The sequence below is a fragment of the Homo sapiens genome, chromosome 3 (assembly GCF_000001405.40).
Source record: "Homo sapiens chromosome 3, GRCh38.p14 Primary Assembly".
Taxonomy (NCBI): Eukaryota; Metazoa; Chordata; class Mammalia; order Primates; family Hominidae; genus Homo; species Homo sapiens.
Window position 1 is genome coordinate 160,973,638 of NC_000003.12, and position 13,873 is coordinate 160,987,510.

At 39.2% G+C, this 13,873-nt stretch overlaps 1 protein-coding gene across 5 annotated transcripts in view, besides 1 other annotated feature; it reads left to right on the forward strand.

Moving 5' to 3' along the window:
* The window catches only part of PPM1L (protein phosphatase, Mg2+/Mn2+ dependent 1L), a 322,672-nt gene that overhangs the window by 217,407 nt on the left and 91,392 nt on the right, over nucleotides 1-13,873 (forward strand). The window lies entirely within an intron of this gene.
* Nucleotides 10,163-10,733: an enhancer, noted in NCBI's record as "OCT4-NANOG hESC enhancer chr3:160701588-160702158 (GRCh37/hg19 assembly coordinates)". NCBI's record gives its function as "activates a minimal SCP1, AML or CMV promoter by ChIP-STARR-seq in primed H9 embryonic stem cells {active_cell/tissue: H9 hESC(primed)}" and the evidence as "EXISTENCE:reporter gene assay evidence [ECO:0000049][PMID:30033119]".

Genomic DNA, 13,873 nt, shown 5'->3' on the forward strand with positions numbered 1-13,873 from the left:
TGAAGATATGTAATCATAGACAGCTGGGCTGCTGTTTAATGCCATTTTGCAAATGTTATGTTCAGTCTTTGGGATCTACTAGACACTTTAAGAATTCATCTGGTAAATTGCCTTCTGAAAGGCCCTGTTTTTTTTTTTTTTTTTTTTTTTTTTTTTAACCAAGACTTGTCTTTATTTTTTTATTTTTTTTTGAGAATGATTCTATCTAGTTTTTCTTTTTTTTTCTAATTTATTTATGTATTTTTTATTATACTTTAAGTTTTAGGGTACATGTGCACATTGTGCAGGTTAGTTACATATGTATACATGTGCCATGCTGGTGCGCTGGACCCACTAACTCGTCATCTAGCATTAGGTATATCTCCCAGTGCTATCCCTCCCCCCTCCCCCCACCCCACCACAGTCCCCAGAGTGTGATATTCCCCTTCCTGTGTCCATGTGATCTCATTGTTCAATTCCCACCTATGAGTGAGAATATGCGGTGTTTGGTTTTTTGTTCTTGCGATAGTTTACTGAGAATGATGATTTCCAATTTCATCTATGTCCCTACAAAGGACATGAACTCAACATTTTTTATGGCTGCATAGTATTCCATGGTGTATATGTGCCACATTTTCTTAATCCAGTCTATCATTGTTGGACATTTGGGTTGGTTCCAAGTCTTTGCTATTGTGAATAATGCCGCAATAAACATACATGTGCATGTGTCTTTATAGCAGCATGATTTATAGTTGTGTGGGTGTATATCCAGTAATGGGATGGCTGGGTCAAATGGTATTTCTAGTTCTAGATCCCTGAGGAATCGCCACACTGACTTCCACAATGGTTGAACTAGTTTACAGTCCCACCAACAGTGTAAAAGTGTTCCTATTTCTCCACATCCTCTCCAGCACCTGTTGTTTCCTGAATTTTTAATGATTGCCATTGTAACTGGTGTGAGATGGTATCTCATTGTGGTTTTGATTTGCATTTCTCTGATGGCCAGTGATGATGAGCATTTTTTCATGTGTTTTTTGGCTGCATAAATGTCTTCTTTTGAGAAGTGTCTGTTCATGTCCTTTGCCCACTTTTTGATGGGGTTGTTTGTTTTTTTCTTGTAAATTTGTTGGAGTTCATTGTAGATTCTGGATATTAGCCCTTTGTCAGATGAGTAGGTTGCGAAAATTTTCTCCCATTTTGTAGGTTGCCTGTTCACTCTGATGGTAGTTTCTTTTGCTGTGCAGAAGCTCTTTAGTTTAATTAGATCCCATTTGTCAATTTTGGCTTTTGTTGCCATTGCTTTTGGTGTTTTAGACATGAAGTCCTTGCCCATGCCTATATCCTGAATGGTAATGCCTAGATTTTCTTCTAGGGTTTTTATGGTTTTAGGTCTAACATTTAAGTCTTTAATCCATCTTGAATTGATTTTTGTATAAGGTGTAAGGAAGGGATCCAGTTTCAGCTTTCTACGTATGGCTAGCCAGTTTTCCCAGCACCATTTATTAAATAGGGAATCCTTTCCCCATTGCTGGTTTTTCTCAGGTTTGTCAAAGATTAGATAGTTGTAGATATGCGGCGTTATTTCTGAGGGCTCTGTTCTGTTCCATTGATCTATATCTCTGTTTTGGTACCAGTACCATGCTCTTTTGGTTACTGTAGCCTTGTAGTATAGTTTGAAGTCAGGTAGTGTGATGCCTCCAGCTTTGTTCTTTTGGCTTAGGATTGACTTGGCGATGCGGGCTCTTTTTTGGTTCCATATGAACTTTAAAGTAGTTTTTTCCAATTCTGTGAAGAAAATCATCGGTAGCTTGATGGGGATGGCATTGAATCTGTAAATTGCCTTGGGCAGTATGGCCATTTTCACGATATTGAGTCTTCTGACCCATGAGCATGGAATGTTCTTCCATTTGTTTGTATCCTTTTTTATTTCCTTGAGCAGTGGTTTGTAGTTCTCCTTGAAGAGGTCCTTCACATCCCTTGTAAGTTGGATTCCTAGGTATTTTATTCTCTTTGAAGCAATTGTGAATGAGAGTTCACTCATGATTTGGCTCTCTGTTTGTCTGTTGTTAGTGTATAAGAATGCTTGTGATTTTGGTACATTGATTTTGTATCCTGAGACTTTGCTAAAGTTGCTAATCAGCTTAAGGAGATTTTGGGCTGAGACAATGGGGTTTTCTAGATATACAATCATGTCATCTGCAAACAGGGACAATTTGACTTCCTCTTTTCCTAATTGAATACCCTTTATTTCCTTCTCCTGCCTAATTGCCCTGGCCAGAACTTCCAACACTATGTTGAATAGGAGTGGTGAGAGAGGGCATCCCTGTCTTGTGGCAGTTTTCAAAGGGAATGCTTCCAGTTTTTGCCCATTCAGTATGATATTGGCTGTGGGTTTGTCATAGATAGCTCTTATTATTTTGAAATACGTCCCATCAATACCTAATTTATTGAGAGTTTTTAGCATGAAGGGTTGTTGAATTTTGTCAAAGGCTTTTTCTGCATCTATTGAGATAATCATGTGGTTTTTGTCTTTGGCTCTGTTTATATGCTGGATTACATTTATTGATTTGCATATATTGAACCAGCCTTGCATCCCAGGGATGAAGCCCACTTGATCATGGTGGATAAGCTTTTTGATGTGCCACTGGATTCGGTTTGCCAGTATTTTATTGAGGATTTTTGCATCAATGTTCATCAAGGATATTGGTCTAAAATTCTCTTTTTTGGTTGTGTCTCTGCCCGGCTTTGGTATCAGGATGATGCTGGCCTCATAAAATGAGTTAGGGAGGATTCCCTCTTTTTCTATTGATTGGAATAGTTTCAGAAGGAATGGTACCAGTTCCTCCTTGTACCTCTGGTAGAATTCGGCTGTGAATCCATCTGGTCCTGGACTCCTTTTGGTTGGTAAGCTATTGATTATTGCCACAATTTCAGGTCCTGTTATTGGTCTATTCAGAGATTCAACTTCTTCCTGGTTTAGTCTTGGGAGAGTGTATGTGTCAAGGAATTTATCCATTTCTTCTAGATTTTCTAGTTTATTTGTATAGAGGTGTTTGTAGTATTCTCTGATGGTAGTTTGTATTTCTGTGGGATTGGTGGTGATATCCCCTTTATCATTTTTTATTGCGTCCATTTGATTCTTCTCTCTTTTTTTCTTTATTAGTCTGCTAGCGGTCTATCAGTTTTGTTGATCCTTTCAAAAAACCAGCTCCTGGATTCATTAATTTTTTGAAGGGTTTTTTGTGTCTGTATTTCCTTCAGTTCCGCTCTGATTTTAGTTATTTCTTGCCTTCAGCTAGCTTTTGAATGTGTTTGCTCTTGCTTTTCTAGTTCTTTTAATTGTGATGTTAGGGTGTCAATTTTGGATCTTTCCTGCTTTCTGTTGTGGGCATTTAGTGCTATAAATTTCCCTCTACACACTGCTTTGAATGCGTCCCAGAGATTCTGGTATGTTGTGTCTTTGTTCTCGTTGGTTTCAAAGAACATCTTTATTTCTGTGAAAGACACTGTTTTTTTAAGTCACCTTCTAGTGCCCAGAGGAATTATCTTTGTGTTTCCTTAGTTGATAAGTTTGTCTCAAGGCTGTGTGGCTTAGGCCATTTCTGATGAAGCTGGTTTGATAAGGAGTTTCTTTAGTATATACACTGGAGGAGCTCCTGGATGTGCTCTTTAGTTCTTTAATCAATCCTAGGGAATTCTAAATTGACTGTGTAGAAATTGCTAGGACATACACTGTTCATTCAACACAAACATTTACTATGTGCCAAGTTCTGGCTACGTGCCGAGAGTCTAAGAAATGGGTAAAGACAGATGAGTTAGAAGTCTGCTTCCTTCGAATTTATTGCTAATCTTTGACTTCTGTATCTATGAATCTATTTTCTAGAATTTGTTTCAAAATAACACCTGTACTTAACTGACTTATTCCTTACCTGAGTCACTCTGATTTCCATTCTCCTGTCTTAGTCTGCCTCATTCAAGGAAGGAAGTAACACAAATTATATTTTTATTATTTATATCCCACTTCTTCCCTAAAAGTTTGATTTGCCATTCTTATAATAATAATGTTACAATAAAAATAGATCAAAGCCATAAATAAGGACGAAAGCAAATGTACTATCCATAAAGAATACTAAAGTATAATAATATACTTTAATTAAGCATCCAATTTCTCCTAAGCTTTCTGATAACCAGAGCAAAAAGAGAAACCTAATGACTTATAAAGTTCTCACTGTTTTAATAGATAAAATAAAAGTTTTTCAGTGGAGACAACTTCTCTTTTGGCACTAAAGATCATAAAGACTTTATCACAAGACTTCCTGTGTATGGGACATTGAACAACATTGTCTTAGTCTGGGTTCCTCAAATGTAGAGCCTGAAGCAAAGACTTGCTTACAATTGGTTTATTTAGGAATATCACCCCAAGGAACAGGAGTGAGGGGCACTGGGAATGAAAGAGGAAACAAGGAAACCTACTATGAGGACACTTATGGAGTTGGGCTCATCTGAGGACAAATGCTGCTTAAGCCCAGGTACCTTCTAAGGTAGCTTGTGAATAGCATCCCAGACCATTTAGCTACCAGTACCACTCCCACATTTGGCCAATGGTAGTTCCACAGACATTAACTTCCCTGAATTTCTGGTTTATGTAGGCCTGAAGGCTGAGTGAGTTCTGTGGGCATCCCATGCCTTGGCATCAGGGAATCTCCAGGGGAGGAAGCAAGCAATAAATAGTTTAGTCCGAGGCAGCATCTGAGCAGAACTGGTCTCCACAGTGGTGGCGGAAATAAGAGGTACGGGAGCAAGAGAGTATGAAATGGTGCCCAGGAGATGGCCTAGGCAAGCACAACAAATAAAATCTTAACTTCATAGCAAATGCATGTGAGCCCATCTTATGGTCATTTCTTGCATAACAACCATCTATAAAAGCTGAGGGCCAGGCACAGTGGCTCATGCCTGTACTACCAACACTTTGGGAGGCTTAAGTGGGAGAATTGCTTGAGCCCAGGAGTTCAAGATCAGCCTGGGTAACATGGTGAAACCCCATTTCTATAAAAATAAGAAAAATTAGCCAGGCATGGTGGTGCATACCCATAGTCCCAGTTACCCAGGAGGCTGATGCAGGAAGATTGCTTGAGCCCAGGAAGTTGAGGTTGCAGTGAGCCGTGTTCATGCTACTGTACTCCAGCCTGGGTGACAGAGCAAGACCCAGTTAAACAACAAGAAAGAAAGAAAGAGAGAAAGAGAGAGAGAAAGAAAGAAAGGAAAGAAAGTATTATTCATGTTTTTTTAAAGCTCTTGTATTGGACAGGAAAATGCATCTGAATACTCTCTATGTTGGACATACTCTATACTGGAATACTCTCTATATTGAACATGTAGAATATCGAGTGTATTCACATGCATTTATAGAAAAATATTGCATATAGCAGAAGATGAAAGAAAAGATGTTTTGTTTGATGTAACGGCTCAACAGGACAGGATCCTAACTCAAACCTAAATAATTTATCTTCACTTTTATCACTAATGAATTTAAATACCTGGGCCCTTCAACCTGAGTAGCATGGTGAGATGTAACATTCAAATTGGGGTTTATTTATTTGACAGTAATTTGTATTCATTTATTGATTTTCCAACCCACTTATTCCAGTTCAGGGTTACAGGTGTCTGGACCCTATCCTGACAGCTCAGGGCACAAGGTGGAAACCCACCTTGGACAGGACACCATCTCATCCCCATGGTGCACTCACACACACCCACTCAGACTGGAACCATGTAGACATGCCAGTTCATCTAAGGGGCACAACTCTAGGATATGGGAAGAAACCAGAGTACCTTGGGAGAACTCACACAGACATGGGAGAACATACAAATTCCTCATGGACAGTGGCCCCAGCCAGGAAACAATTTTTTTTTTTACATCAATATTCTAGCAAAATGATGTTGAATGAAATAACATTATTCAATGACCTGCTATATGTAAAAATTAGTTACCTTCCACAGATAAGAAACTCACAAGAGTGGTTACTTTGGGAATGAGGAATTGAGGAAGGAGACTTACTTTTTCACTGAGTACTCTTACTATATTGTCTGAATTTTTAACTTTGTCCATGTATTTTGTATTTCTTAAAATTTATAAAAATAAAACTAAACAAAACCTTCCTAATCCATTTCCCTTATCTTCAGTGCTAGAAATGGAATGTAATACCACAGAAAATCATACTTCTTGTTTTCAATAAAACTTTTCATCCTTAAGTCATATGTATCTTTGGAATAAGTCGACAAAGGAACTCAGCAACAAGACCAGACATCATGGAACTGCAGTGCCAAGGTCAGAGAAGGTCAATAATAAGGTCCAAGGCATGCCTGGACACCAGGGCTTCTACCATAGGTGCTTGGTAGCCTTTCTACCCTGGGCCAGAACTGGTTCCAGATTCCAGGGTAGGGCTGGCCTTATTGGAAAAAAAATAAAAATTCATCTGAAAGAGAGCAGGATTCATCGGTAGCATGCTGGTGGGGATCCAGCAGAGTTTCTGATGTCAATTTCTGTTGGTTGCCTCTGCTTCATCTCAGAGCTTGATCTTCTTGTGTCTGACAAGTTATTAGATTTGATGCTTTACTTGGCCTTTTAGTCAGATTTCTTCTCTCCTGAACTATGGCCAAACCTCTATTGCTTTTCTTTCAAGGCGGTGAAGTATAGTGAAAAGAGCCCAATTGGCTTCATGATAATTCTTTGTGATATTATACTTAATGGGGCTTTTTATGAAGATTAAAGATAATGGGCCAGGCACAGTGTCTCACGCCTGTAATCCCAGCACTTTGGGAGGCGTAGGACGGGGGATTGCTTGAGCTCAGGAGTTCAAGACCATCCTGGGCAACATGGCAAAACCCCGTCTCTACAAAAATTAGCTGGACACGGTGGCATGCACCTGTAGTCCCAGCCACTCAGAAGGCTGAGGTGAGAGGATCGCTTGAGCCCTGGAGGTTGAGGCTGCAGTGAGCTGTGATCATGCAATAGCACTCCAGCCTGGGTGACAGAGTGAGACCTTGGAAAGAAAGAAAGAAGGAAAGAAGGAAAGAGAGAAAGAGAGAGAAAAAAAAAGAGAGAGAGAGAGAGAAAAAGAAAGAGAAAGAAAGAAAGAGAAGGAAAGACGGAAAGAAAAGGAGAGGGAGGGAGGGAAGGGAGAGAGGGAGGGAGGGAAGGAAGGTAGAAGGAAGGAAAGATATAATGTGTGGAAAATGATGGACATGCAGTAAACACTCTACCAATGATAGTCTTTCTCTTGTTTTTGCTGTTACATGACGTAGCATGTACTTGATGTGGTGTACAGGGGTATTTCCCCAATCCCCTTCATGATGGAGAGGATTACCTATTATTATACTTGGCACAAATTAACTTCCTGTCCAGAGCATGACAGAAACCAGCAAAATGCTGACTCCATAAGCCTCCTCTTCCTTCCTTGCCCTGTCCTGTATGGAAAAATATTTCCTCAAGTTAAGAGTATTTGTATGGGTTTAATATCTTTATCTTTTCTAATACTGTGTATTAGTTACCTATTGCTGCATAACAAATTACTCCAAAATTTAGCAGCTTAAGACAATAAATGTTTATTAGCTCATATAATTTCTGAGGATCAGGAATCTAGGTTGGTTCTCTCATGTAGTTGCATTCAAGCTGTCAGCCAGGGGAGCAGTCTCTGAAGATTTAACTGGGGCTGTTCTGCTTCTGAATATACTCATGTGGCTCTTGGCAGAAAGCTTCATTTCCTGTCTACATGGGTTTCTTCATAAGGCCTCTTGCCACATGGCTTCCCTCAGTGTGAGTGATGTAAGAGACAGAGAGCAAGGGGGCACCCAAGACCAAAGCCACAGTCTTTTATAATGTGAATGTCGAAAGTGGTATACCACAGTTTCTGACAGAAGCTGGGGTTGGTCAAACAAACCAACCCTAATTTGGTGTGGTAGTATTCATACTAAGCAAGGGTATGAATACTAGGAGATGGAGATCATTGGGGGCCTCTTGGAGGCTAACTACCATAGGGTGTATTGCAAAAATATCTACTCTTACTCTTCCAACTCCTCCACTCTCTCTTCTACTATTATCACCTTTCCTTCTCATTTTATTTATTTATTTATTTATTTATTTATTTATTTATTTATTTTTATTGAGATGGAGTCTCGCTCTGTCGCTCAGGCTGGAGTACAATGGCAGGATCTCAGCTCACTGCAGCCTCTGCCTCCCAGGTTCAAGTGATTCTCCTGCCTCAGCCTCCTGAGTAACTGGGATTACAGGTGCACACCACCACACCCAGCTAATTATTTTTGTATTTTTAGTAGAGACGGGGTTTCACCACGTTGGCCAGGGTGGTCTCAAACTCCTGACCTGAAGTGATCCACCTGCCTTGGCCTCCCAAAGTGCTGGGATTACAGGCATAAGCCACTGCGCTTGGCCCCCTCTCGTTTTCTAATCACTACCTGCATCTCATTTCTTGGAAGTCCAAAGCTGGAGTGTTGAGCCCTGCACCTGGATGGCTTTAGGATTATTTAGACTCAGCATCCTTTCCAGTAATCACAGTGTACATTTCATCTCTCCAGGGTCAATGCCTTTGATGTATCAGTTTTTAAATATTTTGACTATCACTTCTGACTCCTCTAATTCATTAAGATATTTCCTTCTAGAGCTTCCTAACACTGTGCCTGGGCATCTCGACAGCTTTGAAATTTCAGATCAGTTTTTTATAGCGGCATCCTAAATGCTTCAAGATTAAGGCATGACTCTCTGGATAGCAAGAAAAAAAAATGTCTCTCTCCTTTATCACTCCCTCCTCCCTTTTGTTTTTCTCTTTGTTTCCTTAACTGTGTTCTAAAATTTATCACATTTTAAATTATATCTATTAAATAATTTGATCACTCATTCTGTTAATTTTTTAAATGGATGAGTAAAGAACCACATAAATTGCTTTTATATTTCACTTTAATGTTCGACCCAGCAGTTGCCCTCAGTACAAGTTTCCTATCCCTTTTTTATTGCTCTTGGTTGCCTTTTGTATTGTGTAGAGAAAAAGGAATGCAGCAAAAATGAGGAAGTCACTGAGGAGCTTGTCTTTTTCTTTCACTTTTTACTATGCCATAATTTCCCTTACTGTGGTCATCTATTTTTTCACCAAATCTCCACCTCTGATTCTCTGTTCCTAAAGAAAACAACAGTAAACATGTAAGCCTCTCATTGTATCTCCATTAGTGGAAGAAGACTGTGATGGAACTGCAAGTAACTTTCCTAGGGACTGCTCCACTGTGGCTAGATTTTTTAAAAATGTTATGAGGAAAGCATTATTTTTTAAAGAACTCATATTTTTAACTTTTTTCTCGTTTCAAATTGCTTTTTTGATCTATGGTGAATTCAATCTGAGATTAAGCATTAAAGAACTTGGGAAAACCAAAATGCCTTCACAGAATTAGAGATGCATTTGATTTTTGTACTCGAGAATCAGCTTGTGAGAAGTATTGGCCCCTGTAAATAGAGATAAACTAAGCCAAATTTGTCTGTAGGCCTTGCATTTTAAAATCACACCTGAAAGTGTTATGAGCCTGATATAATTGCATTTGCAAATAAAATGCAAGAAGGTCTAGGGCTCAGAGTACAATTAAATGTATTAAATTTTTCTTTTTGCTGTAATGACAGTAACTTTAGGCCTCTTCAGTTGACTGTACCTCTTTGTAAACCTTCCCCTGCAGGATAATCAGCATTCCACAGCCACTAAAGAAAATGAGCTTGTCTAAAAATAGTTGCCTGTTTACTAGATTTTAGCAGATTTTTTGGGGGGTGGTGGGATAGGGGGTGGGTAATATGAAAGCTTTACAAAATGAAATGAGGTCAAATATGACAGATGTGATCAAATGTACTTCTAATCTGTAAATCCCTGACTAGCTACAGTTGTGCTATTTTTAAATGTATACTTTGAAGTTATACTGAATTTATGACATTCTCAGCATTTTCCTATATCTACAAGCATTTGGGATTACTCTGTTGTATTCTGTGGGTTGGCGATCAGTGCATCATTGCTGGTGCCCACTGGCTCTTTATTGGGGGAACCCACCCCTGATAATTCTTCGTGGGTTCTTTTCTATTTACCTAAGTGTCAGCCAGTCTGAGAAATAAAGGGAAAGAGTACAAAGAGAGAAATTTTAAAGCTGGGTGTCCGGGGGAGACATCACATGTCAGCAGGTTCCATGATGTCCCCCAAGCCACAAAACCAGCAAGTTTTTATTAGTGATTTTCAAAAGGGGAGGGAGTGTACGAATAGGGTGTGGGTCACAGAGATCACTTGCTTTAAGGGCAACAAAAGATCACAAGACAGGAGGTTAGGGCGAGATCACAAGGTCAGGGCAAAACTAGAATCACTAATGAACTTCCGTGTCCCGCTGTGTATGCATTGTCATTGATAAACATTTTACCAGAGTTCAAGAGCAGAGAACTGGTCTGACTAGAATTTGCCAGGCTGGAATTTCCTAATCCTAGCAAGCCTTGGGGCACTGCAGGAGACTAGGGCATGTTTCATCCCTATCTACATCTGCATAAAGGCAGACACTCCCAGAGCGGCCATTTCAGAGGCCTTCCCTGGGAATGCATTCTTTTTCCAGGGCTGTTAATTATTAATATTCCTTACTGGGGAAAGAATTCAGCGATACTTCTCTTACCCATTTTTGGTAATAAGAGAAATATGGCTCTGTCCTGCCCAGCCCACAGGCAGCCAGACTTTAAGGTTATCTCCCTTGTTCCCTGAAAATCGCTGTTACCCTGTTCTTAAGGTGCCCAGATTTGATATTGTTCAAACACACATGCTCTACAAACAATTTGTGCAGTTAACACAATCACCACAGGGTCCTGAGGCGACATACATCCTCCTCAGTTTATGAAGATGATGGGATTAAGAGATTAAAGTAAAGACAGGTATAGGAAATCACAAGAGTATTGATTGGGGAATTGATAAATGTCCATGAAATCTTCACAATTTATGTTCTTCTGCCGTGGCTTCAGCTGGTCCCTCTGTTCAGGGTCCCTGACTTCCTGCAACAGGTCTTACTTAGTAGAGTGTCAAATGAGGTCCTGTTTTGCACTGCTTTTATTTGACAGGAATTATTTTCTAACCACCAAAAATAATAAAATTGATTTACTATGAACTCTTTCCTTTACAAGCAGTGGTTCTCTACCAGAGGCGATATCTACCTCCACCCCCATGGGACATTTGGCAATGTTGGGAGGCATTTTTAGTTGTCACAGCTTAGAAAGGGGAATGGGAGGGAGGGCTGGTGGTGTCTAGTGGGTAGAACCCAAGGATGCTGCTAAGTAAGCATTCTATAATGCACAGGACAGCCCCCAACAGCAACATTTATCTAACCAAAATGTAAGTAGTGCCAAGGTTGTCTTTAGAACAATAGTTTTCAACCTTTGTAGCATATTAAAGTCACCTTGGGAGGCTAATGCCCAGGCTGCATTCAGATGAATTACACTAGAGTCTTTGAGCAGTGGGACTCAGGCTTTAGTATTTTTATTTTATTAATTTTTAATTTCAATAGGATTTTGGGGAACAGATGGTGTTTTGTTACATGGTGATTTCCGAGATTTTGGTGTACCCATCACCCCAGCAGTGTACACTGTACCCAATGTGTATTCTCCCCCAATGACTCCACTGCGTAACCAAGATTGAGAACTGTTACTTTAGAGCAAAATTTTAAAGGGTAAGACTAGTTTAGACATCATCACAAATAGTTCCCTTACTAAAGTAGATGAAAGGACCTCATTAACATGTGGTTGGACCAATCAGGCATGTCCTAGTATAGTATTATAGTGAGGTTCAAATGAACTTTTAATATTCTCTAAAGCCAGTACTTAAAACATGAGAAACTGCTATTCTCATTCCCATATTGGAAGTTTGTTTTCCTTGTTTTTTTCTAATAAGTTCTTTCTTTTTCCAAGCAAGTGGTGATAAATATTTACTGGTAGCTTTAGTTAGTAAAGTTCTTTCAAATAACACCTTGGGTGTTTGAGCATTGGTGATTTGTTTTCCTTGAAGATGTCTTATGTATCTTTATTACTTGAATAAATATCATCATGTAGTTATTTACCTGAATTGATAATGCTGTGCAAAGGAGCTAAAGTATCCTCTCTAAAAATATTTTTTTTTCATAATTTTGGCCTTTCATTCCTTTAACCATTTCCTCTCACCAAAAATTAAATCTTAAAATTTATGGACAGTTACTCTAAACAGATAAATATTCTCCAGGGATGATTAATGTATGATTTTTTTATTTTATTATAGATGCCTATATTGATGGCACAGTTCTCAGGGAACACTCTCCACCCACCCAAAAAAAAAAATAGCACCTCAAAGCTTTTGAGAGTCAGGGTAGATAGAACAATTTTTAATGATGTATTATATAGTAAAAACTAGTCCATTTATAAAAACCTGCCTAGCAAATAATAAAACTGTCTTCTTTCACATCTCAACGTCTCAGTGAGAGTTCAGGCTGTCGAACTATGGAAAGCATCCAGCTTCTTTGAAGAAATAGAGTGAGGTATTACTCACAGAGAGCCATCTGGTATCTTGGTCATTAACCCACTTTTGCTACCCATGCCCACATGCTTGTCAGGAGATGCTGGAGAATGAAGGAAGGGAACAGATTGAGGAAGGAAATGGCAGTGATTGCAGAGCCCAGAGGCTCCCATATTGGTAAGAGGTTAGTCAGATTCCTCAGCCAGGGCAGAGACTGGCCCAGGTTTCCTGAGGCCTGAGTTTTACACAATTTAGAGAACCCTCTTTAGGAAAAAAATAAAAAATAGGTACAAAATGATTTCTTTAGAATGAGAAAAGAAATCACAATAAATTACAAATTGTAAAGAGTTAACCACTACCACTGAACCTAGAAAAATAACATTTGTATTAATTAATTGCCTGATATATGCTATAGTCTGACATCTGCTACAGTTTTTCCCACATCTTTGGCAGCATGTTCTTTGGTTACTTCTTCATAGAACAGTGAGTTTGTAACATCATTTCCTGCAGAGGGGCCTGGGAAGATAATTTAATCTTCCCTTTAGCATGGTTGAGCAAAACTTGGGATTTTTATCTTGCTTTGTTTTTTAATTCATACTTCAGAGTCTCTTTCAGCTTTTCATTTTGTTATTCGTAATGTCATACAAATTTTTAGAGTTGCTGCCAAATCTTGGAAAATTTATATCAAAGTTTCTTACATATTCTTTCTTTCTTACAATAAAAGATTTCAGGTCATTTGAAGTTTCCTTATACAGTTACTAATAAATAGTCCTTGAATTTACAACACTCATTAGCTGATTGGTTGTCATTGTCCTTGTTGTAATGGTGAATAATGAGTTTTATTTGTCTTCACTTAATGTCGCATTATTCATAAGAACCTGAGCTGTAATGGAGTGAGAACATTTCAGGTCAAGGGAGAACAAAAGGTGTGATCTGGCAAAGGCATGGTGTCCAGTTTGGATGGAATATCATGTACAAGTAGTGTAGCAGTGGGCCACAGGACTAGAAAGGTATGCTGGAGCCAGACAGGCAAGTGGGAAGGGTTGTCAATACTTGGTAGGTGGCTAAAAATAGACTCTATGTTGTATCATAAAGTTAAGAAGCCCAAGGCCATTTGTGGACCACTGAGCATATGAAAGGCAGCATGGTGTAATGTTAACATCATTGGCCTTAGAGGCAGCCAGATTCTAGTCTGAATACTAGCTTTCCCCCCAACAGGCCTGGGAAGCCTTGCTAACAAGAACTATACGTGAAAATAATGGCAAACTACATATATATTTCACTATACCCAAACTTGATGTATCCTTGACTTAAGTTCCTCTTAGATCCCAGCCAGAGGCCAA